This window comes from Homo sapiens, chromosome 1 (genome assembly GCF_000001405.40).
Source record: "Homo sapiens chromosome 1, GRCh38.p14 Primary Assembly".
NCBI lineage: Eukaryota > Metazoa > Chordata > Mammalia > Primates > Hominidae > Homo > Homo sapiens.
In genome coordinates this window covers 209,838,449-209,863,402 of record NC_000001.11, presented here as the reverse complement: position 1 = coordinate 209,863,402, position 24,954 = coordinate 209,838,449, and the positions used below count along the sequence as shown (strand labels likewise).

The following is a 24,954-nucleotide window of genomic DNA, read 5'->3' as shown; positions in this document are numbered from 1 at the left end:
CAAAATTAGTATCTTCACAAGTCACCCTGCTTTGTTTTGATGGAGTGTAGGGAAGCCACTACACTCTCCAAGCCAGATTGCTATCGTGGAACAGCTGGAATTCTGTCACAGATGGGGCAAGAAGAACTCAGCTGGCATTTCCTCTGAGTTCAGGTTCCTGTGGGGAACAAACACAGCTCTACAGATGATGGCTGCTGGCTTCGATTCCTTTCCGTGCCCAAGACTCTCAAGCAGCTTTTTTCGACCCGGGAGTTAAGTCAGTACAGCCAGATTTAGCTTTCTCCGCAGGTTTCATAACAGATAGAACAAAACCGGGATATCTCCCTGCCCACCCACAGGGGATGGGAAGAACTCTGTGACAGGTGTTCCACAGCCATTCGCCTCCTGTTGACACCTCCTCACCCTGTGGCTGGAGGTGGAAAGGGAAACAAAAAACGTGAATTCCAGGGTGCAGGGCAGCCACTTTCTGAGAAATGATTAGGACCCCAGAGAGGAGGAGTGCTCAGACTCTGAGCATCTCATTAAAAAGGATCAGTCTGCTACTGTGGTGCTGGAGCTGGGGTGATGCGGGTGGCTGACGGCTCACTGCGGGCAGTGAGGGGCGGGTGACCATACTCAGACTCTGCATGTCCTTCATATGCAAAATGCCTTCATTTAAGTGGCTCCCAGAAATCCAGCCTTTTGCAGGAAGGCTTCTAAAGCCTTTTAGGAAAAAAACAAACAAAAGAACTAGTATCCCTCCTGCTAGATTTAGATTTTCCCGCCTATCAGTCTTCATCCCTGCCTCTATGACAGACAGGCACACACACCACACACAGTCATGAGCACATGGGTGTGTGCACACACAAACACATACACATCCCAGGGGAATGGTTCATTTTGTTTGGAAGTTTGTTCCTTTGTCCCCATCTGGAGGTACCAGGATGCCTGTCCCCTTTCTCCTCACTCTCGGATTTGCCACTCGCAAACCAAGGTATCAGGTAGTTCTTTGGGGTTACAGTGTCAGTTTTCCTCTTCAGTATATTCGTGGAGCTTTGCTTGAGGGTGGGACAAAGGTGTGCAGAATGAAACAATGAGTAAGATATGAGTGAATGTCCTCAGCCTCGCAGGTGGATTTAGACAACCAGTGGGAAAGTCTAGAGGAGGGCACGATTAAAGTTCATAGCGAGCTGTGATGATTTCACAGAGATTATCATTTGAAGGGGGCCTTGAGAGAGGAGAAGTTCAGCAGGGGAGGAGTAGTGATTGGGCATTCTGGACAAAGGAAACAGGATGGTCAAAGATCTCTATTACCTGACCCTGTTTTATTCTCTTCCAACATTTAGCACCATCTGAAATTGTACTTTTATCTAGCCTCTAATTCTTTCTTTTCTGTCTACACTATGCACTCTAACTCTATGAGTGCAGGAAATATGTGTGCCTCATTCATTGCTGTGTCCTAAGTGCCTAAAATAATTTCTAGCACATCGTGGGTGCTCAGTACATATTCACAGAATGGATAAATCAATGCTCAGACCAAGGAAAAGGGAGAGAAGGAGACTCTTTTTCTTTTCTAATGTATGTGGTTTCATTTCATCCTTACAATACCACTCAAGAAAGACATAATCATCTCTACCTTACAAATAAGGAAACTGAGGTAAGCAAAGGTAACTTACTGGGAGTAAAAGGTAAAGCTGAGATTAAAAGCCTAGTTTATCAGTTTGTAAAGTGTAGATTATGCCATGAAGACTAATGAAGGTCTGAACTAAGCAAAGCTGTGGGAAGGAAGTTAGAGAGGTGAGCTCACGTTTGAGGCAGTGGGTTGATAAAACTGACAAGACTCGGACACAGATGGAAAGGGAGAAATTCCCTTGCAGACTCATCTCCATCTGAGTGGCTGGTCCTGACCTCCCTCTCCACTGGATTCAATCACATGGGGATTCAGAAAAAAACATGTGGCATTGGCCACTAGCCAGTTGTTTAACTTTGGGAGACCTGCCCAATTTCTCTAAGCATGTTTTTCCCCTGCTATATGGTGATAAGCAATCAGCTGGCTTTTAAGGGTTGTTGTGAGATGACTGATGTACATCAAGCACCCACAACAGTGCCTGGCCCACAGTAGGTGTTCCATAAATATTAATTCACCTATCTTTCCCCATGATTTCCTGATGTCTTTTGGCATGGGAAGTACTGTTCCCAAGAGGAGGACCAAAGGGCAAGTGTGAGGACATCCACCCTGGCCTAGGTACGGGAGTGGATAGTCTCAAGAAGGAAGGAAGTGACAACCTAGGCCTGGGGGCAGTGGATGGAAAAGAAGTTAGGGAAGTACCCAGTAGAGAAAATCTCCCCGTCTCTGAGAAAAACTCTAACCCCTCTGGAAAAAGGTTAGACAAGAAACCACAATTCTAAAGGGATTATGGTCAATCTCTTCTCTGCAGAAAGGTGTAGCCAGAGTGTGGTGATGGGGAGCCAGGGGGCTGTTGGGCTTGGGCCTCATATATGTAAATTTGGTTGTGAATTGGGTTATGAATAACCAAATGAAGCTACTCACAGTTATTATCATTTAGAGTTTGTTAAGTTAGTTTTTAAGAAATTAGTTGTGAGTTTAAATATGCCATAGAACCTATTGGAGATTTTCCATTTCTTAAAAGGTAATGTTCACTATTCCATAAAATTATTTCCTGAAATAAATACACGATTATGAAATCATTTTAATGTGTTAACTTATAAACAAATTCTATCACAGTTGTTTGTAACTCTTTGAATTTCTTAATTTCCTATGTATTTAAATTGTTAAATAAAATAAAATAAAAAAAAGAGGCCTAGGTCTCTGTCTTCTCCAGCTCTGAGAGCTGCCAGGCACAAGCCCCACAGCCCAAGGCCGGCACCCGAGGGGAGGTGCAGATCTCCTTACTGTACTTGTTTACAGCGCCACCTGGTGTTCCTAACGCATAAGCGCCCTCACCCCTAAGAGTTGGAATTTGCTAAGTAAAAAAGATCCCTACAGCTGTTTTTCTGAACCATTCTCTCTCAAAATCTCTTTTCTTTCCTTTGAAGAGTATGAGGCATATAAGTAAGAATAATACAAAATAACAGTTAATTTTCTAAAATTTTACTAATCTTTGTAACGTGGAAAAGAAGGTCTGGTCTTGTTCTAAGTGCCCTGCATGGATTAAGTAACTTAGTTATTGTAACTCTGAAGACAGGTATTATGATGACCATCCCCATTTTACAGATAGCAACTGAGGTACAGAGAGTTTAAGGAATTTGCCAAAAGTTACGCAGCTAGAAAATATTAAAGCAAAGATTTGAACCTAGGCAGCTTGGCTTCAGTACTCACGCATTCTTATGCTGCTTCTCTGTGCATGCGTGTGTTTCAAGAAAAAAAAATTAATTTTTATTTGTACTGACACTAAGAATTTAATCTCTCTGGGCAAACCTCAATGGACCAAGGATAAACGGGGCAGCAAAGGAGTGAAAAATATGCCTTAAATGATCCTGACATATGAGACGTTATGCTTTTCAGGTTGCTTGAATTCTCCTTCAGAATGTCACTTGGTGGTGGCCGCGCGCGGTGGCTCACGCCTGTAAGTAATCGCAGCACTTTGGGAGGCCGAGGCGGGAGGATCACGAGGTCAGGAGATTGAGACCATCCTGGCTAACACGGTGAAACCCCGTCTCTACTAAAAATACAAAAAAAAAAAAATTAGCCGGGCGTGGTGGCGGGCGCCTGTAGTCCCAGCTACTCGGGAGGCCAAGGCAGGAGAATGGCCTGAACCTGGGAGGCAGAGCTTGCAGTGAGCCGAGATCGCACCACTGCACTCCAACCTGGGCGACAGAGACTTGGCATCCAGAAGGATGGCACACAAACAACTCAATTAATGTTTATAACAACCCTCCCCAAGAAAATATTATCATCTCCCTTAGTCCTTTTTTTTTTTTTTTTTTTTTTTGAGACACAGTCTTCCTCTGTTGCTCAGGCTGGAGTGCAGTGGCATGGTCTTCTTGGCTCACTGCAACCTCTGCCTCCCGGGTTCAAAAGATTCTTGTGCTTCAACCAACCAAGAAGCTGGAATTACAGGCGCCCACCACCACACCCAGCTAATTTCAGTATTTTTAGTAGAGATGGGGTTTTGCCATGTTGGCCAGGCTGGTCTTGAACTCCTGACCTCAAGGAATCCACCCACCTCAGCCTCCAAAGTCCTGGGTGAGAGGTGAGAGCGTGCTGGCAGCCCTCGCAGCCCTTACTCACTCTGGGCGCCTCCTCGGCCTTGGCGCCCACTCTGGCCGCGCTTGAGGAGCCCTTCAGCCCACCGCTGCACTGTGGGAGCTCCTTTCTGGGCTGGCTGAGGCCGGAGCTGGCTCGCTCAGCTTGCCGGGAGGTGTGGAGGGAGCGGCGCGGGCGGGAACCGGGGCTGCGTGCCGCACTTGCGGGCCAGCGCGAGTTCCGGGTGGGCGTGGGCTCAGCTGGCCCCGCACTTGCAGCGGCCGGCTGGCGCCGCCGCCCCGGGCAGTGAGGGGCTTAGCACCCAGGCCAGGAGCTGCGGAGGGTGCCCTGGGTCCCCCAGCAGTGCCGGCCCGCTGGCGCTGCGCTCAAATTCTTGGGCCTCAGCTGCCTCCTCGCGGGGCAGGACTCGGAACTTACAGCTGGCCATGCCTGAGCCGCCTCCCCCACCCCCGCCGTGGGCTCCTGCGCTGCCCAAGCCTCCCCGAGGAGCTCCGGCCCCTGCTCCAGGGCGCCTGGTCCCATCTACTGCCCAAGGGCTGAGGAGTGCAGGCACACGCTGCAGGACTGGCAGGCAGCTCCACCTGCGGCCCCGCTGCGGTATCCACTAGGTGAAGCCAGCTGGGCTCCTGAGTCTAGTGGGGAACTTGGAGAACCTTTATGTCTAGCTAAGGGATTGTAAATACACCAATCAGCACTCTGTATCTAGCTCAAGGTTTGTGAACACACCAATCAGCACCCTGTGTCTACCTCAGGGTTTGTGGATGCACTAATGGGCACTCTGTATCTAGCTAATCTGATGGGGACTTGGAGACTCTTTATGTCTAGCTAAGGGATTGTGAATACACCAATCAGCACTCCGTATCTAGCTAATCTAGTGGGGACTTGGAGAACTTCTGTGTCTAGCTTAGGGATTGTAAACGCACCAATCAACACCCTGTCAAAACGGACCAATCAGCTCTTTGTAAAACAGACCAATCGGCTCTCTGTAAAATGGACCAATCAGCAGGATGTGGGTGGGGCCAGATAAGAGAATAAAAGCAGGCTGCTGGAGCCAGCAGTGGCATCTCCTCGTACTCTGTCCTGGTGTGGAATCTTTGTTCTTCACTTCTTTGGGTGCATGCTGCTTTTGTGAGCTGTAACACCGCGAAGGTCTGCAGCTTCACTCTTGAAGCCAGTGAGACCAGGAACCCACCAGAAGGAAGAAAGTCCAAACGCATCCGAACTTCAGAAGGAACAGACTCTAGACACGCAGCCTTTAAGACCTGTGACACTCACGGCGAGGGTCCGCGGCTTTATTCTTGAAGTTAGTGAGACCAAGAACCTACCAATTCCGGACACACTGGATTTACAGGTGTGAGCCATCCCTTAGTCCTTTTAAGAGTTCAACAATTAGGATTGCTTCATTAAAAAGGGTAATAATAACTACTATTTATTGAGTGCTTTTATTGTTTTGTTTTTAGAGAAGTAATTATCTAGTAAAAACAGTGTAGGTTTTCAGGATTGTGCTGCCTGTGTGGAAATCGGGAAAAATAAGGATGCTTACCTTAAACGGGTGTGAGGGATTAACTGATGTAATACATGCAAAGAGCTTGGAAGAGTTGCTGGCGCTTAATCAGTACTCCAAAAAATGTTACCTTCAAAACCACCTTTTAATGCAAAAGCATATATATACATACACACACATTGTTGGTTATTATTCATGCAGAAAACAATCTGGGAGGAAACATAAGACATTAATAATGATCACCAAATAGATGTAGTTTGATTTTTGTTTTTCACTATTTCACTTGTATTTGTGGAATGGGCATGGGTTGCTTTTTTAATAAGATTAAAAGAATAACTTTTCAGGAAAAAAAAAAGTTTAAGGAAGTAAGGATGATTGGCCTGGAGAAGCAAGTTTCATAGGAGACATGGTAGATGTATTCCAATAGTTGAGCCTTAAGTGGGGAAAAAAAAAATTTGTACCGTACAGCTTCAGAAACAGGACTGATGGATAAAAGTTTCACAGTGTTTCTAACAATCAGAGATGATTAGAAAAGCCACAATGAGCACCCCATCCTTGAAGGAATTCAAGCAGAAGCTGGAGGCCACCTCTTAGGGATGACCTATAGGTAATTCACGGATCAAGTGGCAGATTAGATCACAAGACCTGTAAGTTTCTATCGAATTGGGGATTCTGACTTATTTCCTATTTGACCTAATTTAGCTTTGACATACACTAGAAGAGATGAGAAACAGGTGGTCATCAGCCTTCAGAGAGCTGAAGTCTGTTCTCTTGCTAATTATTTTTCTGCAACGATCACTGTTTCTATAAATCTTATGAGAAGACACTTGTGTTCCCTCGTTCTATGGATCCAGTGTGGAATGGACACGTCAGAACTGCTAGCAGAGACATGTGAGTGCCCACTCCTCACGCCACCAAATGGCCAGCATCAACCCTGAAGTACAGTCTCAATGTTGGTGCTTGCCAAGAACAGACGAAAGAATAGGCAGTGTCTTTGGAGTTCAGGAGTCTGTGATGCCATTTTTGTCTTCTGTATCAGTCAGGAATGGCTAATAGAGGCCTGGCCTAATGGCTTAAACAAATTAGGTGTTTGTGTGTTCACGTAACAGTAGTGCACAGGAATACCATGCAGGACTGGTATGGCAGCTCTACAACATCCTTGCAGAACCAAGCTCCTTTCTTCACCACTCTCCTACGTACAGAGCTTATAGCCTCAGGAGCTTCAGCCATCACTTCTGCGTTCCAGGCAGGAAAAAGGGAAGAGCAGAAGGTAAAAGTGGTGCTCCTCTGAGTTTTAAAGAACTCCCCTAGAAGTCCTGCTCAGTAGTTAGTGCTTCTGTCTCATGGGCCACATTTTACTGCAAGGGGTGGGGGATGGAAAATGATGCAGTGTTTTTACTAGGTACTTTGTTATCTCATTAAAGTCCAGCGTTCTGGAACTAGGGAAGTAGGTGGATATAGGGCAAACAATAGCAGTCTCTTCCCTTCTCACACAGTCCCTCTATAAGGCTAGTGGGGATTACTCCATACTTCATAAAGATGAGAAAACTGAGAAGTGGTCGTGAGGACTTGTTTAGAGCCACAGAATGTCAGTGGTGATGTTGGTCCCAACACCCAGCTTTGAAAAAATGAGAGAACACAAAGAAACCCATGAACATCTGTGGACAAACACCAGCTGTGAGCCCAGGGCCACCTCTCCTTGCGGAATCAAAACTGGCAGATGAGAGAGGCTGCAGAGGTCAGTGAGGACGAAGGTGGCAGGGCACTGGGGCAGATGTTTCAGTGATGGTGCTCCATGCTCTGTGTCATTCCTTAGGTTGGCAAAAGGTAGACAGCTTTGGCCTTGGCTCAGCTGGGAGAACAGATGGGCAGGAATTCAGCACAACTCCTAAATCAGCCAAGCGGCAGACTGCCTCCTTTCCTTCTCTGGGTCAGCCAAGGCTACAGTTTCCACCTGGTCACAGCCAGCTGCAGAGGCCCAAGACTGAAGCCCATGACAGCTCGGCGAGGAGCACCTAGAAATGTGCCATCCCACACCTGACTGTGAGGGGCCATCAGGAGAACAAGCAAGGGCAGGTGTTTCTTCCAGCAGTGAGGGGACATCTGTACTGAGCTGCCCAGCAGGAGAAAGATTAGATTTCTCTGTGCAAAGCAAACAGCTCCTTATGGCAGTCACATACCTGTCCTCACTCCTTTTGAGCATAGGGCTATACTGAGAAAACCAGTTTGTTTGAAAAAGGCCTGGAGCTCTGTTCTTTCTCATCCCCTTTATCTACCATAGGAATAATGGCAACGTGACCAGAGGTGTAAGGGGAGCCTAGGACCTACTCTGAAATACATGTAATGCAAGTGGAGGCGGCAACTCCCCACATCTGAGGAGGGGAAGGTCCTCACAGAAGGGAAACAGGAACAAAGCAAAAGTAGACAGGAACATGTGTTTAGCTTTAGACACAGGACATAAAATGCAGTTTTGCTGCAGTTCTGGTGAGAGCACGTGGCATAGGAGGAAGACGGCTGAACGTCGCGGGGTTTGCTTGGGAGGAAATGACCAAGCCCAGAGGGAAAGAAGCGTTCCCTCTTTCCCCTTCCAATGCTTACATCAATTTTGGATTATCTGTGTATTTACTCCCCATTCATTGACTCTAATTAAAAGTTGACTGAAATCTGTTTAGAATTCTATGTAGCCAGGCTTTCAGAAAAGCTTTTTAAAATAAGTGTGGAGTAGAAATTTGGTAATGAAGATCACTACCATGCTCCTTTGAGAGAAAAGATGGGAAAGGGACTGGAAGGAGAGGATGGCTAGACGGAGGGAGGGCTAGCTGTGGTGGCCCCACGCTCCTCAGAAGCCGTGCCCTGAAAAGAGCCACTTCTGAGCATTCCACTGACATTACTTTTCCACGAAGCTTTGGGCACCTCAGGCCCCTGCAGTTGGACAATGAGGCTCTTCAGACAACTATAAAGAACTTCCAACTCTTGCTCCCTCACCCCAGGCCTTCTGTAATCTTGAGACCCTAGATCTGCTCACGTGGGCTTGGGAAGGCTGGTCAGATGGCCAATAGGGTCTGGCCCCACCTGCCTTTCCCTTTCCTCCTTCAGCAGCATAGCTCCTTGCCCTCACGAGGGCACAATCAGGGCTGAGAGCCTTCATGAGCCCCCCTTGGTCCTCTGGGGTATGAGGAGTCAGCAGGGACACATTCCCCATCTCCACTAGGACCATCTGTGCTCAATTATAAGCCCTTTGGAAGCAAGCAGAGGGCTGTTTAGCTGCTGCTGGTTCTCTATGATTAGCTTGTTCTTGTTTTTTGAACACTGCACGTGGTGCAGCCAGCTGTGAGAAGCATCCACGATTCAAAGCTTTTTCTCTCTCAAAAAGAAAAGTGCTAAGCTGGTTGTTTTAACTATGGGAAAAGAAAAAACATTTAAAAGTGTTACTTTCTGGGTAAGTTCCTTTCCATACCTTTTAATTCCACTGTTTCCAGGATTGGGACCATCCTTTGTCTATATTTCAGACCCTATATAGGCACTTGCTTGCTGCAAATGAGCCTTGTTAACATCAAGGTAGTGTGTAATTCCAGCTCACGCATCCGTATTTCAGTAGCCTCTCTTCTCGCTTATTGTGTGTTGAGAGAGACCAGATCTTCAAGGCATCCTTTTAATAAAACCATTGCAGAGACTCCACTCTGCAATGCACTAAGGAGCCAGGGCTAACTGCAGAGGCTTACCTTCTTTTCAGGTGCTGAGCCAGGAACAAAGCAACACTACTTTGTTCACACTTGAAATCCTCAGTGTTCTCTGCAGGCAAGAAGCAGTTGGCTGGGTTTGGCTCTATGCCAGCATGAAAATCACTAGGGGTGCTTAATAAAATGGTTATTTCTGGGGCTACATCATGGATTTGAAATCCAGACTCACATGTGAGTGGAGAGCCAGAGAAGCTGGAGATTTGGGAGTCGTGTGAATAGTAATAATGGAAACCACGAGATGAACTACAATTCACAGGCAAAAGAATATGGCAGTAGAAAAAGATGTAGGTAATTGGCCAGGCGTGGCGGCTCAGGCCTGTAACCCCAGCACTTTGGGAGGCTGAGGTGGGCAGATCACTTGAGGTCAAGAGTTTGAGACCAGCCTGGCCAACATGGCAAAACCCCATCTCTACTAAAAATATAAAAAATTAGCTGTGCATGGTGGCATGCGCCTGTAGTCCCAGCTACTTGGGAGGCGGAGGCACGAGAATCGCTTGAACTCGGGAGGCACAGATTGCAGTAAGCCAAGATCATGCCAGTGTACTCCAGCCTGGGCAACAGAGCGAGACTCCATCTCAAAAAAAAAAAAAAAGATCCAGGTAATTACAGTCCCTTCGCCTCACATTTCTGAATGAGGTAAATAAACTCATTTCTTATTCTCATAATATACAGGATCTATGATAAACAGCAGCACAATTACGCCAGTAACCACAGGGCATGCCTATAGATACAAAAAGTTCTTTGTAGCATGGGTTCGGTCGGCTTTTATCTAACTAAATTTTCTGAAATTTAGAAAACCATCTAAATATGGAATAAATGGTTTTACTTACCATGCTGAAGAAAAAGAAGTAAAAATGTCTAAATATTTAGCAGAAATATTACTTCAAAACTGATTTTACTTTTTGTTTTTGCTAAGTAATTTTAAGCGTGCCCAAGGATAAAAAAAATCTGTACCAATCATGGGTTATTACATTGAGGATAATGGGAGCCACTGTCTGAGAAAGGAGTTATCAATATGGAAAGAAAATGAGAAGCAATCCTGTGTTGTTGGACTAGAATTGGAGGTACTGGTGTGAATTCATGGTTTTCAATATATGGATATGAAAGTAAATTTAGATATTAATGTGAAGCAAATTTAGACAACGTGTGTACATATGTGTGTGCATACATGTACACAATTCCCAAGTTCTGACCACTGAGCCTGGGATGAGTGGCACCACAATAGTAAGCACTCCAATCTAACCTTTTATAATAATTTCCTACTAAAAGCAAGCAGGGCTGGAGTAGAGAAACCTGGAATGTCTCATTGTCAAAAAATACAGCAGTGCCCAAGTAGATGGGGGACATGTCAAAAGTACACAGGGGCTAACCTGAAGGTGCTCCCAGCGGCCATATTTGAGACCAGTTACGCATCTAAAGAAATAATGATGTAACAAACCGTAACCCATTGAATAAAAGAAGAAACTACGAGTCCATACTAGGATGAGTTGAATATCTCTTATCTGAAATGCTTGGGACCAGACGTGTTTCGAATTTTTTTGGATTCTGAAATATTCACATTATCCTTATTGGTGGGGCATTCCTAATCACAAACAATACCCTTAATTGTTTACAGGAAATATATACTAAAGTATTTAAAGGTGATAGGCCCACTGGGTTGGCAACTCACTCTCAAATGGTTCAGGTTCTGTACTTGGAATTTTTCTGTTTGAGAATGTTTCAAAATAAAAATGTTTTTAAAAGTGTAATTTCCTTTTTATTTGCATCTGTTTATGACTGAAAAAATGACTAGTTATTATGAAGACACTACTGTTGAAGATGGATATTTTAACATGGAGTTTCAACAAAATTACTTCTTGAGACAGAGCTGATGTGTTTTTTAAATAACGTGATTTTAAGCATATATTTGAACAAAACTAAAACATTTAGTATTATGAATATGAAAAAAGATCAGTAAATCAATGTACTCTTCTAGGCTGAATTAAGGTAGACTATTTAAGGTTTCAAAAAAGTTTGGCTGGGGCAGAATAAGTTTTACAAAACCCATGCCATCCAAAATTAAGATGACATGTAGCAGCAAGAAGTATTCCAATGTCTCATAACCAGTTCTCGCAAGCAATGTGTATTCCTTACTTTAAGGAAGTGTCAAACAAATAGAAAAATCTGGAAGAATTTACTAAGTGTAATAAATTAGAGGTAAATCGTAATAAAAGAATTTATGTCTCACAAAAATATTCACAAGTGGGAGTTTTCTTCTACCAACTTCTCAGAGTCCTTCTAGCCCCCTCTTCACTTCTGAAAGATGGGATTTACCAAAATCTGGTTTACATTTAACTTTTCAGGGACACATGACCTGAAAAGAAAGATGTCAGATAATACTGACATTGCCTCATGCACTTTCTTTGTATCAGTCCTTCTTCTGTAAGTAATCAGAATTGGGTCCAAATGGCATAGAATCAAACATTATGTATCATGCCAAATACCACTTCCTGCCCAACAAAATTTCATTTTTCTCCAGTAATGAAGAGGTGGACATTCTTGTTGGACTGTAGCATCTGTGCCGCCCGCTCCACACCAACCACGGCAGCTAACCTCTGGGCATCATATTTGGAGTAGAGAACAGTGCAGGTCCACGTGGCCTCTTCTCCTCTGTTGGTGGCTCTCAGCATATTACAGATTTCACTGTAAAAGTGTGGATATGTCGGCAGTTCATAGAAAATCAGGTTCCTGATGCCTTTTATTGTATACCTGTCAGAATTGGAAAGAAAGAGCTATGTCAACTTGAGAAACAAGTTCTAGAAAAACTACCTAGGAGTTGTACAGAGGCATAGTTCATGCTTGTTGCTTCCTGCTAATGGAGAAAAACAGTGGCACAAGTAACAGAACAAAAGTTATTCTAACTTGAGGTGGCAACATATTTGAATTCTTTTTATGACAACATATTCGAATTCCTAATATTTGGCTTAAGAAAATGATAAAATAAATACACATTTCTTGATCCTACACTGGGTAGGCTGAGGTATCATGGGAAAGAATAGTAGACCAGGATTTAAAAATCTGTCACAGAAAACTTAAAAAGCAGGCACTTAAAATGGAACATTAGCCTTATTATAATCAGGCAAAAAAGAATGGAGACAAGGTCAGACCCAGTACATAAAATAAGTTGTACAGATTGTAAATACACTCCCATTAGTCTTTTCTTGCCACTCTGGATACATGTTAACTCCATGGCAGACGTCCCAAGTTCATCCATTTACAAAACCCTGCCCAAGGACCCACTAGGCATCATGAGAAAGCAATTAGTTTCAACAGCGTATGCATTTCCATCTCTTTCCCAGCTGCACAGTGCCGCCCTGTGGTGGGGGGTGGTGTACACCCAAGGGACTGACTTGCAGTATGGTTCAGTCAGGCTGACGTCAACCGTTCCCCTGTGGGATTCCATAACAAAAGATTTTATATGTTGACAAGCTTCTGATTTTTCCTGTTAAGTTTCTCTCATACACTGAAGACGTTAGACTCCCTTGGGGATTTTATTTCTTTCACAGAAGGTAAGTTTTCCTTGTCTTTTTCCCTCACAGCTCATCCTGATCTCTCTGGAGACCTTCCTTTCCCAAACCATGACTGTGATCTATTATGTGGTTCACCTTTCAACATCCTTTCCATAAAGAAGGAATTCTAACGGCTAATGAACTTGAATAAACTGTTCTACCTCACTAGTTCTCAAAACAAAAACAACACTGAGTTCTACTTCTGCTTAGAATGTATAAAACTCGAGAATATTGCTCCTATACCAATAAGAAAAAGTCAGATAATCTATTATACAAAAATGTTCCTTTTCTTGAGCCCAAAGAGCTACCATCATGAAGCAATCAGGTAACCTGAATTAGGTGGTGAGCTGGTGTATGTTTAATAATTGGTCCTCAGTGGGAGAAAGGGAGGGTGCTAATTTGAAGGATTTGTCAGTTTCAAGCTACCAATGTCATGCTGCTGACCCAGAGATGTGCAGCCAGGTCTCATGAGCCAGTGTGAGCCAGCTTCAGCTCACCATGGACTGAGTTCCAAAGAGTAGCCCTTCTGAGGAAAAACGGGACACAGGAACTACTGCACCTTAGGCAGAGCACAGGAGAAAGATGGCCTCTGCCAAAAAAGTGGGTAGTAAGAAAATAGATACACTTCTAACACATTCTTAAAGGGCAAGAATAGGCTTGCCTGACTTCAGGACCCCAGGGATCCCTGGATGCTCCTTTAGTTCACATCCACTCATGAGCTTGTTCCAGAGGCCTGCACTGGGAGCCCTGGAGAAAGCAGAAGACCCGAGGGAGACCCCACTGGTGGTAGGGACATGAAAGCCCACCTACTTCCCAGGCCCATTATCGTGAAACCCATGGTAAAAACGTGAAGCACACGGGGGAGAAGAAAGGAGCCACCCTGTCCCCCACCCCTAATCGCAGGCAGGCAAAGGCAAACCACTTGAGGGGGAGGGTGAGTAGAAGCAAAAGTTGTCTGCCCTTAAGGGAAGGGCAGTAAACCCCCACCCTTCCATTTGTCCCCCACACAAGACTTGTACCCAGTAAAAAGCATTCTGCCCCAGAGGAAGGGGTAAGAAACCTGTTCAGCCCAAGTTCCTGCACTGATACAAGCAGAGTTCGATTAGGGAAGAAGCTGTATACACTTCACCACAAAGATCCCTCACAGATAAAAGGTGGAGTCTGGCTGCCACGGAGGTAGCGGGGCAGGAACCCTGAGAAAACCTCACCCCCAAAGCTTGGAATAAAAAGGGCCTGCCAAAAATTGAGCTGGACCAGGAGAACCCCCTCCCCCCGACTTCATGCCTTGCAAGGAGAAACAAGAGGCCTCCTGTGAGGAGGGGTCTGAGTGTGGAGTGAGACCCTCCTCTGGCACACGTGTCAAGGCCTCAGTGACAGCTGAGCAATCAGGACACTGAGAAAAACCCTCCAGCACCCGAGACCCTACACCAAGCCCACTGTCTGCTGGAGGAATTTGAGGTCTGTGGTGTTGGGAAGGTATCTACAGTAACAATCAAATCCTGACTAGATTGATAGCACCCACACCAGTGGCCTACGGAAGGGGTGCGGCCGGACATAAGTATTATTTACTTCAGCCTCTACATTCCATTGAAAGTTATAGAAGACACAAAAAAGCAAGAAAAGACATCCAAACAATGAGGTATCATTTTGACTATCACATCAGTAGCAATAATTCAGTCTATGGAGCTTTGGAGAAATAGGTGAATGGAGCATAAATTACTTTGTCTATGAATTCAGGAGAAGATATGGAAAAGATGCAAAGGAGCAAATAAGTGGCAACGCATGACACATTTTTAACTGTGTACAGCCTCTGTGCTAACGAGTTTTCCTTTCAAAATCTATCCCAAGAAAATAACTAGGTAAGTATTTCATCAAAACATATGCATATGGATGTTTTGCGTATTATTATATACAACAGCAGAAAACAGAAAAAAAACCCCTATATGCCCACTAAAAGGAAGCTAGCTTAATTAACCAATGTAATACTATGTAGCCATTAAAAACAATGTGATGTTTACCTCACACGTTACTTATTAATTACATACACACACTAAGTGATTTTAGTGATTTGGCATCACCAAGAATGAGACAAAGTGACATTACGTGCCTTCTGATGAGATGAGGTAGAAAGTACGTAATATTCCCTAAGTAGAATTCTTATCAAAAGATATTTATTCTAAATCAGTCATCCCCAAACTGCTGCACATTGAAATCACCTAGCTGGTTGTTTTTTTATTTTTTTTATTAATACTTAGGTTTGGTCCCCATCCCAGACACTGCGATTTAATTGGTACTGGGATGTGACCTGGGCATTTGGATTTTTAAAAGCTTCTATTCTAACGTACGGCAAAGTTTGAGAACCACTGATCTAAATAACAAGGGAACAATTAGATAAATCCAGACTGTGAGACATACTGCAGGAAACCAGATTGGACTCTTCAAAAAGATGTCGATGTCATGAAAAAGTAAAAAAGCAAGAGAGTTATTCTGGATGAGGGTTTCTCAGTGTTAACACTGCTGACATTTTGAGACAGATAATTCTTTGTGGTTGGGGGCTGTCCTGTGAACGAAGGTGTTTCACAGCATCACTGGTCTCAACCCACTGGAACCACCAGAATAATCCTCCAGTTGTGATAACCAAAAATGTCTCCAGATATTGCCAAATGTCCCTGAGGGAGCAAAATTGTTCCCCAATTGAGAACTAAACTAGATTAAAGAAACAAAAGCAGTAAGTTAACCAAATGCTATATATGATCCTTACTGAATCCTTTTTGGCCGGAGGGGAAAGAGCTATAATGGTCATTTTGGTGACAACTAGCAAAATCTGAATATAGACTAGATATCAGATGATATTACTGTAGTAACATCAGGTAGCATGATAATGGTGCTATGGTTAGATAAAAGAATGTTTTTGTTTTTAGGAGCTACATGCTAAAATATTTAGGGGTGAAGTGTCAATGAAGACTCACGCTACTTTACTTTCAAATGGTTCAGGAAGAAAAAATAAGAGATGTGAGTGGGGATAGAGAGAAGATGGGTATGTGCAAATGTGATAAAATGAGAACAGCTGGTGGAATTTGGGGTAAAAGCATTTATAAATAAACAGATGTTTATTGTTAGTCTCTTAACAATTTTCTTTCACAATGAAATCTTTTCAAATAAAAACCTGGGGGAAGAGAGGATGTCGTAGAGCTATATATAGTAACTTAAAAATATACACAAAAATCCACAATATACAAATATACAGGCCAAAATGTTAGTCTTTGAATTTTTTTAAATGAGCACATAAAACATCTAAGACAAAGGAAAAAAAAATCCTTAAAACAAAAAAAGATCCTAATTTTAGTATTGTTTTTTAAAAAAACACGTGTGTGTGTGCACGTGTGCATGTGCACACATTTTTCACATAAAAAAGATGGAAAAAAATTACCAAAAAGAGTATTTATATCAGGGCAGTGAGATTTTTAACCTAAAATTTCCAATATCTCTACAATAACTGTGAAATACCCTCACAATCAGGAAAAACAAAACAATAAAACTGTTAAGTGTTATATTAAACACACACACATGAAAATCTGTCTCAGTCCCAATGCAACCACAATAGAGACTGAGTATCTCCTGGCAACAGAGAACATGGCCAGGGCCTCTTCCAAGGGGCAGTTAGTGGCAAGTCTCCATAGCTTGAGCACCCCTTACCCTGCCTTCCTCCTCCCTTATATATGCTTTGTTTTCAGTGACTCCTACAAACACAGCCTAATCACCCTTACAGTACCTTCCACATGTCTATTTCACGAGCCACTGTTAAAGACAAATGAGGCAACCACAATGAACTTGAAAGACTGGCTCCTTCCTACGGTCCATAAAGACCAAGTCTACTACTTCTAGAACTGGGATTCTCCTGTAGGGGAAGGGAGTAATCAGAAATTCCCAGCAGCCTTTCCAAACTCCACAAATCCCACCTCCAGTTTCTGACTTGCCTCCTGGTTGAGATCCTCCCTGCTGTGGAAACCCACTGATAACGCACTGGAAAAGAGCTGTGACCCATCACTGGGAGGGCAATCATGACCAAATGTTCATCCAATTCTAAGATTCTGCTAGTTTAATCTTCCCCACATAAAACAAATCTTCAGGTTAAAAAATTTTTGCTAACTCAAAAATGAATTCTAATCTTCCTAACATTGCCAGCTGTCATAGAGAATATAAAAACAGAGTCAGATACTACAATATAAAATACATGTACATTTTCTGGCCGGGCACGGTGGCTCATGCCTGTAACCCCAACACTTCTTGGGAGGCTGAAGTGCGCAGATCACATGAGGCCAGGAGTTCAAGACCAGCCTGGCCAACATGGCAAAACCTCGTCTACTAAAAATACAAAAATCAGCCAGGCGTGGTGATGCAATTCTGTAATCCCAGCTACTCAGGAGGCTGAGTCACGAGAATTGCTTGAACCCAAGAGGCAGACGCTGCAGCGGGCCGAGATCACACCACTGCACTCCAGCCTGAGCAACAAAGTGAGACTGTCTTAAAAAAAAAAAAAGAAAAAGAAAAAGAAAAAAAAAGTACTTATTCTAAGGTCAAATTAAAAAAAAAAAAATCACAAAGGCACTGCACACCAAAACATCCATCATCACCTTGGTGATCTCTCGAGCAAAAAATTCTATAGCTGGAAACCTTGAGATAATTAGCTGTTGCAGAACTCTAAAGCACATTATTTTCATTCATCTTCTACAAAAGAAACACCAATTAACCTGGCCCAGGGCATAAAGCAAATGGCATATGCTGAGATTTGTCCTTATCGTGACTTTGAGGGCAACATGGCTTGGTAAATAGACAGTGTAATACAGGAGACTGTCCTGCTTACAAAGGGCTCCATGCCCTGTCCTTGAAAAGCTGCTGAGATATTAAAGAGCTTAATTCCCATCCCAGCTTAATTCACAGTTGCCATAGACAATCACACTGGGAAGTTTTCCAATCCATCCACTTCACTTAAAGGGCTTGCTTTCATTTGTCAAGATGATAGAAAGCTAAGAGCTTTTAAGACCTGATGAGTGCAACTTCCCCAAATACTTTCCAACATGAATGGAAACGACAACTTACTGGAACAGAGCAAATAATGAGGGCAACAAGCAGGCATTCATTAACACTCTTTGGCCAAGCAGCCTTCTCTGGGTAGCCAAGAATGGAGCCTGGGAAACACAAATTTAATCAATCCTCAACTCTCTAAGAGGTCATGCCATGCCAGCTTTGCTATGCCTAGGCAAGCTGCTGGGACGCCTCCCTCCCCATCCTGGGAACAAGGACGTTATCTGGGGAGCACCATCCTAATCGTTTTAGCATAAACTAAAAGGTAATGCAATGCCAAAGTGCATCATCTAATGTGCTCCAAAGCTTGGGAGATTTCTGGCGTATCTGTTTAGGATTCTCTGAGAAAATGCACCCATTGTGAGTTAATAAAACAGTAAAGTCAGAACTTAAATCCACTGGACATTATTGTGAAATCAGGATGAGGTAACAGAATGTAATTTACATAACTCTACAGGCAAGGGTTAAAAAAAGCCTTTTACATATTATGCAACCATGAAAATTGAAAATAAAAATCTAAAAAATAAAAAAGCTTTTTCTATTTATCAACAGAGAGAGACTTAGCAAAACAATAAAATACATGAGCTCTAGGGCCAGAAGGGCCGCCACTATCCCAAACAGTAATAGAAGGCTCAGTATTACTAACCCTCTAATTAGAGTTGGTTTTTTTTTTTTTTTTTTTTTTTGAGATGGAGTTTCGCTCTTGTTGCCCAAGCTGGAGTGCAATGGCACGATCTCAGCTAACTGCAACCTCTGCCTCCCGGGTTCAAGCTATTCTCCTGCCTCAGCCTCCCGAGTAGCTGGGATTATAGGCACACACCACCACGCTCAACTAATTTTTTATATTTTTAGTAGAAACGGGGTTTCACCATGTTAGCCGGGATGGTCTTGAACTCCTGACCACAGGTGATTCGCCTGCCTTGGCCTCCCAAAGTGCTGGGATTACAGGTGTGAGCCACTGCACCTGGCCTGAGTTTTTAAAAAAATAACATGAAGACCAATCAACTTATTTTGTCAAAGTCACCTGGTAGGAAATCTAAGCAAACGCTGAAACCCTTCAACATTCAACTTGAAGCCCTTACCCTTTTACCTCCTGCAAATGTCAAGGAGCCCACGGTCCTAGTTCTCCTTGGTAGGGAGTATCTGTGCATACCTCAGGAACACCGCAACTGTCTGGAAACTGACACTGTACTCAGCCTCCATCTCCCCAGAAAACACAGTTCTCAATGCTTTTGTCTGTGCACTGAGGGCAAACAGAGGGAAAAAGTCTAGACAGGGACAACTCAAGTGAATACAGGGAAGGTCCCTCCCCTTCCTTGTATTCATTTGAGTTGTCCTGTAATGTCCTTCTTGCAGTGTATAACCACAGCTACATGCCAGGTCTATAGACAGGGTATGCTTTGGTTTCTACATCCTTCTTCAGCAATGCCCATTTTGGGAGAAAACCAACTAACCAACCAAGAAGAGTCTGTCCAAACCAAAAACTCTCTGGCTACTTTGTAAGAGTGCGAGAGTGAGGGATGATCTCAACACCACGAAGCCTGCCATGCATTCAGAGCAGGCCATGATTTGTCCTGCACCTCCCCTTCAGAGAGGAGGCTTGAAACCTGGCACCACTTTACCTTTTGTAGAAATGGAAGCGCTCTGTGAAAAGTAGAAACTGTTTCTCTCCTTGAAGGAAGAAGTGTCTGGCCCTGGAGACACCAGACTTCTGCGTGTACTCGCAGATGTGGGTAAAATTCAATTCCTCCTTCTTGAAGTAATTTCGAAGACGCACGAAGTCAAAGTAGGAGGGGATATAGATGAGCGTGTGAGACATGACTGCATCACGATACTGTGGCAAAATCTTGTTCACAAAAAAGTTAAACCTGATTTGGAATGGCAAAGGGCAAAATTAATGTCTAGAGCTAAGCTTATGGTGTCTCTTAACTGTGTGACCCTGAGCAAATTACAATCTCGTGTTAAAAGATTACCTCCCCAGAGGCCAATATGATTTACCTCCTCTCAAAGAGATTATGTAAGGATAAAACTTGATAAGCACACTAAAAAAATAAGTGTCAACACTATTCATTGTAAAAAACAGATGTAATACCATTATATCCCAGAGAATTACTCTAGGAAGTACACACCACACTATTCAGTCAGTCAGTCAGTCACTCAGTCACTCAGTCCAACAGTCAACAAATAATCACTGAACATCTACCATATACTAAGCCTCACTAAGCTTCTTTGGGGTCCCCTAACTAAACACAATGAAGAAAAAGGGGGAAATTATACAATTAGAAAAATAGTTCTTTCCCTGAGGGGCTTACAATTAACTTGCTGACATGAGACACTTTGTAGCATAAAGCTGTATAATTTTAAAATGCCACAGTCAAGAGTGAAAGAGTCCTGATTTATAGTAATAACCCTGCTACTAACTAGTTATGAGACCTAGGCCAAAGTCACTATTTCTCTCTGTGCTTCAGTTTCCTCCTCTGACAAATGACATAATTAAGTTCAATTATCTCAACTGATTTGGTAGTTATCAATAAAAGCAAAATGGAATCCAATTCTAGGTTTGTATGCCCAAGTCAAATCTCTCTATGTGGTCCCCAGGGGCCTGCTGGGAGGAGTGGGTTACCTGGCATCAATCACTGAAGCTAGGTTTTCAGCTTCCATCCTCTGGAAGACATGTGGGAGCTGCACCAGGACATGACTGATAGAGCCTGTCATTGGGACATTCCTCACGGCCACCTGCCAGTAGTCAACAAGAGCGTTAGGTGGACAGCCATCCCCTTCTTGACCAGAAGCTATCGCCTCCTTCTACCTCAGGACCCAAACAATAAACAGTGCTCATGAAGATACTGAGGAAACAAGACGAGAACCCACCTGGCCTTGCATGTTGACACAGTACTTGTTGAACACTGAGTTGATCTGGGCATCCTGAAGGGCCCCAAATAGCAGTGTCTGGCGATAGTACTTGGACCAATTATTGAGGCTCCACATCCGCACTCGAGAAAAGTCTACCCCATGTGAGTCCAGGGGTAGTAGGTTCATGTGATTCATCAAATGCTTTGAGTGGAAATAATATTACCATTAGTGTTGACTGAGAGCATTTACATGTTGGACATTGCTAAACATTTTCCGAGTCTATCAACTCATGTACTATCATCTCCTAAATTATAACAAGAAAACTGAGGCTCACATGGGTGAGTGACTTGCCCATGGTCAGCCAAACATCCCCAATGAGGAGATAAGCTAAAACTGGCCCTCCTGGAATTTTAACAAATGATCAAAATGGTACCTACAGGAATGTTCCTTTAAAATGAACTTCTGAAATGCCACACTGGTCTCTCTATGGGTCCCTAAGTCCCAGACTTGGACAAGAAGGGAAATGCCATGGAAAACAGAGCTGCTGTCCCTCAATTACCTGGTTCTCAAAACATTAGGAATAGTTGCAGTGTCACCCTGTCTTTTCCTCAAATCTAAGAATATAACTCGACTATGCCAAATGCCTTTTCCATTTTAATTATATTTTTACCTTGTAATAGATATTGAAGGGTAATGAGTACAATAAATTTATTTCCTACTTTAGAAGTAAGTTCTACCCTTCATTTGTCCCAAACTTCCTGCAAGCTTCAAGACATGGGGTTGTAGAAGGGGTGAGTTCCCATATGCCTTAGAAAAATAAACCTATAGTTCCTAAATAAGGATTGTTCCAAAGCAGTTTTTCAGTCCTAAAACTGATAACACTGCAGAGTGTGTGGAGAAGGAGAAAAAAATTACAGTACAAATTACATCGGGTAATAAAGACATCCTATATTTCTCTACAAAACAAGATCCCACCTTAAAAAATCTTGAGCAGGGTATTCCCATCTTCACCAAAGACCAAACAAAACAGCATAAGCAAAAACCACATGTGGGATTATGTTAGGTAAAGATGTTCCTGGTGAGGACCCATCCATCCATCAACCTATCCCATCCACCCATCCACCCACCCTAAAGTTAGTAGAAAGAAATTTTAAGGGAAAGAAATCTTTTCTGGAGATTTGAAAATGACTGACAGGAATTTTAATCTGTAGACAGTTTAATTATGGACAATCTCTGGGTAGAAAAGGGGACAAAAGACTTTTTCAAATTAGAAAATGTGGAGTGTGTGTCCTTGCTTCCAAACAAGAGTTCTAATCTGGACTTAAATAATTCTTTAGGACTTAAACCACTGGGTGTCTTATCCCTCTAAATATGAATACTGTCCCACTGAATGTGAATGGCCAGCATTACCAGGACATGCTCCCAGTTCTGCATCAGGTAAATGTCAGCTTGATCAATGATGAGAAGCTCGATAGAAGACAGAAAGTCAAAATCTCTCTTCTTCTCTCCTTCTCCACCAATGATGGTCCTCAAGCCCAGGGGGGAAGCAATGAGGATATCCGAGGAGTAAAACGGGGCATAGAGTCGGATGCTTCTCTGAAGTATTGCCACTCCTACACAAAACAGCCAAGTACACACCAATTCATTAGTCACTACCAAGCCATTACCTTCCACCCTCTCAAAGCAGTCCACCACTTCTATTGCTTCCACATCTCTTTTGTTCCTCTTAGCATGTAACTGTGCTCAACTGCTTTAATTATTAAAACATAAGAACAAGAGAAATCTCTCCCTTGCATCTATAGTCCCTTCTAGCTTCTACCTTCTCTTCCTTTCCGTCACTATCAAACTGCTCCAGAGAATTCTCTCTACTTTCAAATCTCTCCTTCACTTCTCACTCCACTGCAATCCGGCCTCTGATTCTCAGGACTCCAGAGAAATGACTCTTGCTAAGGTCCCCACAGTCCTCAGTCACCAACAGGATGAACACTTTTGAGAGCTTCTTATGAGGAAAGTACAAACGGCACAGAATGTACTAACAGCTGCCTTGCAATGCTCTTTTCCTTGCTAATAGTTTCCATGACTTCAACTCTCACTTTTGCTTCTATCACTGACCTGGCCCTTGTCTGTCCTTCCAGATCCAAATAACTCTTCTGCAAACTGGTGGATTCACTTGTCAGCTCTGCTCTCGTGCTGCATAAAGCTTTGGGTTAACTGACTCACTGATCATGGCTTTAATGTCACCTTCACACAAATGTGTATTTCCAGCCCATATCTTTTTCCTGAGCTCCAGAACAATATACCAACTGCTTCCTGGACAGCTATATATGTTCCAAACAAAACACGAGCTCTTGTCTCCTTATGCCTTACATTCCACCATACCGAAGCCTGTGTGAATCATAGGTCATTCCAAGCTTAGTCACCCTGATGCCTCTGCAACAGGCAGTTTCCTGTCTGAAATGTTTTCCTCCACTCAGCCACCTCCCTTTGAAACTGGCTGAATCCTACACAGGTTTCCACCTAGTACAGATGACACCTCCACCACGACATCTTCCCTAACCACCCTGCCCCCATTTTGGGTAAGGGGGTTTGCTTTAAATGCTCCGAGAACAACCGTTGCACACATATCCTGCACTGCCTGCTCTGTCGTAGGCTGGATTTCCTTAGCAATGGGAACTATAACTTTTATTTCTATATTTATCTGTAGATTCCCAGCTTCTTAACAGTGCCTGGCACACTGTAGATACTCAATAAGTATTTGTGAATGAGCATATGTGACTAATGAACATTTCCCCAAGAACTTTACTCTATAAAAGGTATAACCAACCAAAGTCAATGGGAGCTGAATGAGAGACAAGCAAAAATGTGAAAATTTGGGTGGAAGTCATGTGTGGAGATTATTCAGGGTAGGCATCTATGTAGCACACAGGAGAAAGTCCACCTTTATGTAGAGACAGTCATTTTATTCAGCCTCCCCAGAATGACCCCATCAGCCCCATCACTTCCAACATCCTAGAGAACCCCTTGTAGCATCTATCTGCTACCAGCTATGGGTGTGCTTTCACACTTCTGTTATAAACTTGCTATAAATTTCTGTTATAAATGTACATGTGCCTTTCATATATGGCCTCAGAGATCCTCCCGACTCCACTGGCCTAATGTCCACCCCATTAGCCAAGGCAAGACTCTCCCATGGCAAACAACATGTCTCAAAGGCACACTGGTTCTGTTAAAGAGGCACAGTGAGTGATCCACTGGGAAAATATCTAATTCCAGCTTCTGGTCTCCAGCTATGTAGACCTTCACACTTTAGGTCTCAAAGTTGATAAGGAAGAATTACCAATCCTGAAGTGGTCATCAATATTGCCCACAAATACGGCTTCATAATCCTCAGGCCTCTTCAAGTTGGGTGGTCTCTCCTCGGGATCTGATCCATATTCTCCCTGAAACCTCTTTTTGTTGCTCACAATGATTTTCTTCTTGCTGTCACCCTCGAGGAGGCTGATGAAGAGCTGCACCACCCGCAAAGCAGCTTCCCGGAATGGCACCACTATCAGTACCTGTGCAGACAGCAACAGCAGCCTTAGTGGGGTAAGAGGAAGGAACAGGATCTTGAGGTGAAACTGCTGAGGAAGTGGAGCTAAAAAGCTCCATGTAGAGCAGTGGCCCCCAGCCAAGAAACATACCTATGTTACCCGCTTTGCGCAGGGCTTGGCTCAACACCAGAAACTGAGCACCTTTCATAACCCCAGCACCATGACCTGCGGACTTCAGACCCATCAGTCCACGTGAGACATTTCTCAAGCAGAATTTGGAAATACCTTTTACAATAAGCCAATGCCTCTAACAGATACGTCTACCAGTAAAAACTCAAGGACATAAACACATGAGCTCTTTGAGGGAAAGATTTCTGTGTCTCCCACAGAATTAGTGCAATATTTTTATCCTAAAGACACAGTGAATAAATACATGTCGAATAAATAAATGGAACAAGTAGAGAAGAAATAAAGCGGGTAAGAA

General features: G+C 43.5%; 1 protein-coding gene across 2 annotated transcripts in view, besides 1 other annotated feature; it reads right to left on the bottom strand.

Moving 5' to 3' along the window:
• Window positions 1–5,837: 5,837 nt before the first annotated feature.
• The window catches only part of UTP25 (UTP25 small subunit processome component), a 29,594-nt gene continuing 10,477 nt past the window's right edge, over window positions 5,838–24,954 (bottom strand). Inside the window, exons 7-12 of one of the 2 annotated variants that reach the window (NM_014388.7) lie at window positions 24,275–24,494; window positions 22,348–22,550; window positions 20,956–21,138; window positions 20,708–20,820; window positions 19,707–19,952; window positions 5,838–12,199 (exon numbers count right to left, since the gene is read on the bottom strand). In NM_014388.7, the coding sequence (NP_055203.4) occupies window positions 11,956–12,199; window positions 19,707–19,952; window positions 20,708–20,820; window positions 20,956–21,138; window positions 22,348–22,550; window positions 24,275–24,494 (1,209 nt within the window). In that variant the 3' untranslated portion in view covers window positions 5,838–11,955. The remainder of the gene's footprint in view (window positions 12,200–19,706; window positions 19,953–20,707; window positions 20,821–20,955; window positions 21,139–22,347; window positions 22,551–24,274; window positions 24,495–24,954) is intronic. The other variant, XM_006711275.4, reaches the window with a different exon arrangement.
• Window positions 23,305–23,599: an enhancer, noted in NCBI's record as "tiled region #1786; HepG2 Activating non-DNase unmatched - State 15:Elon". NCBI's record gives its function as "activates a minimal TATA promoter and a strong SV40 promoter by Sharpr-MPRA in HepG2 cells {active_cell/tissue: HepG2}" and the evidence as "EXISTENCE:reporter gene assay evidence [ECO:0000049][PMID:27701403]".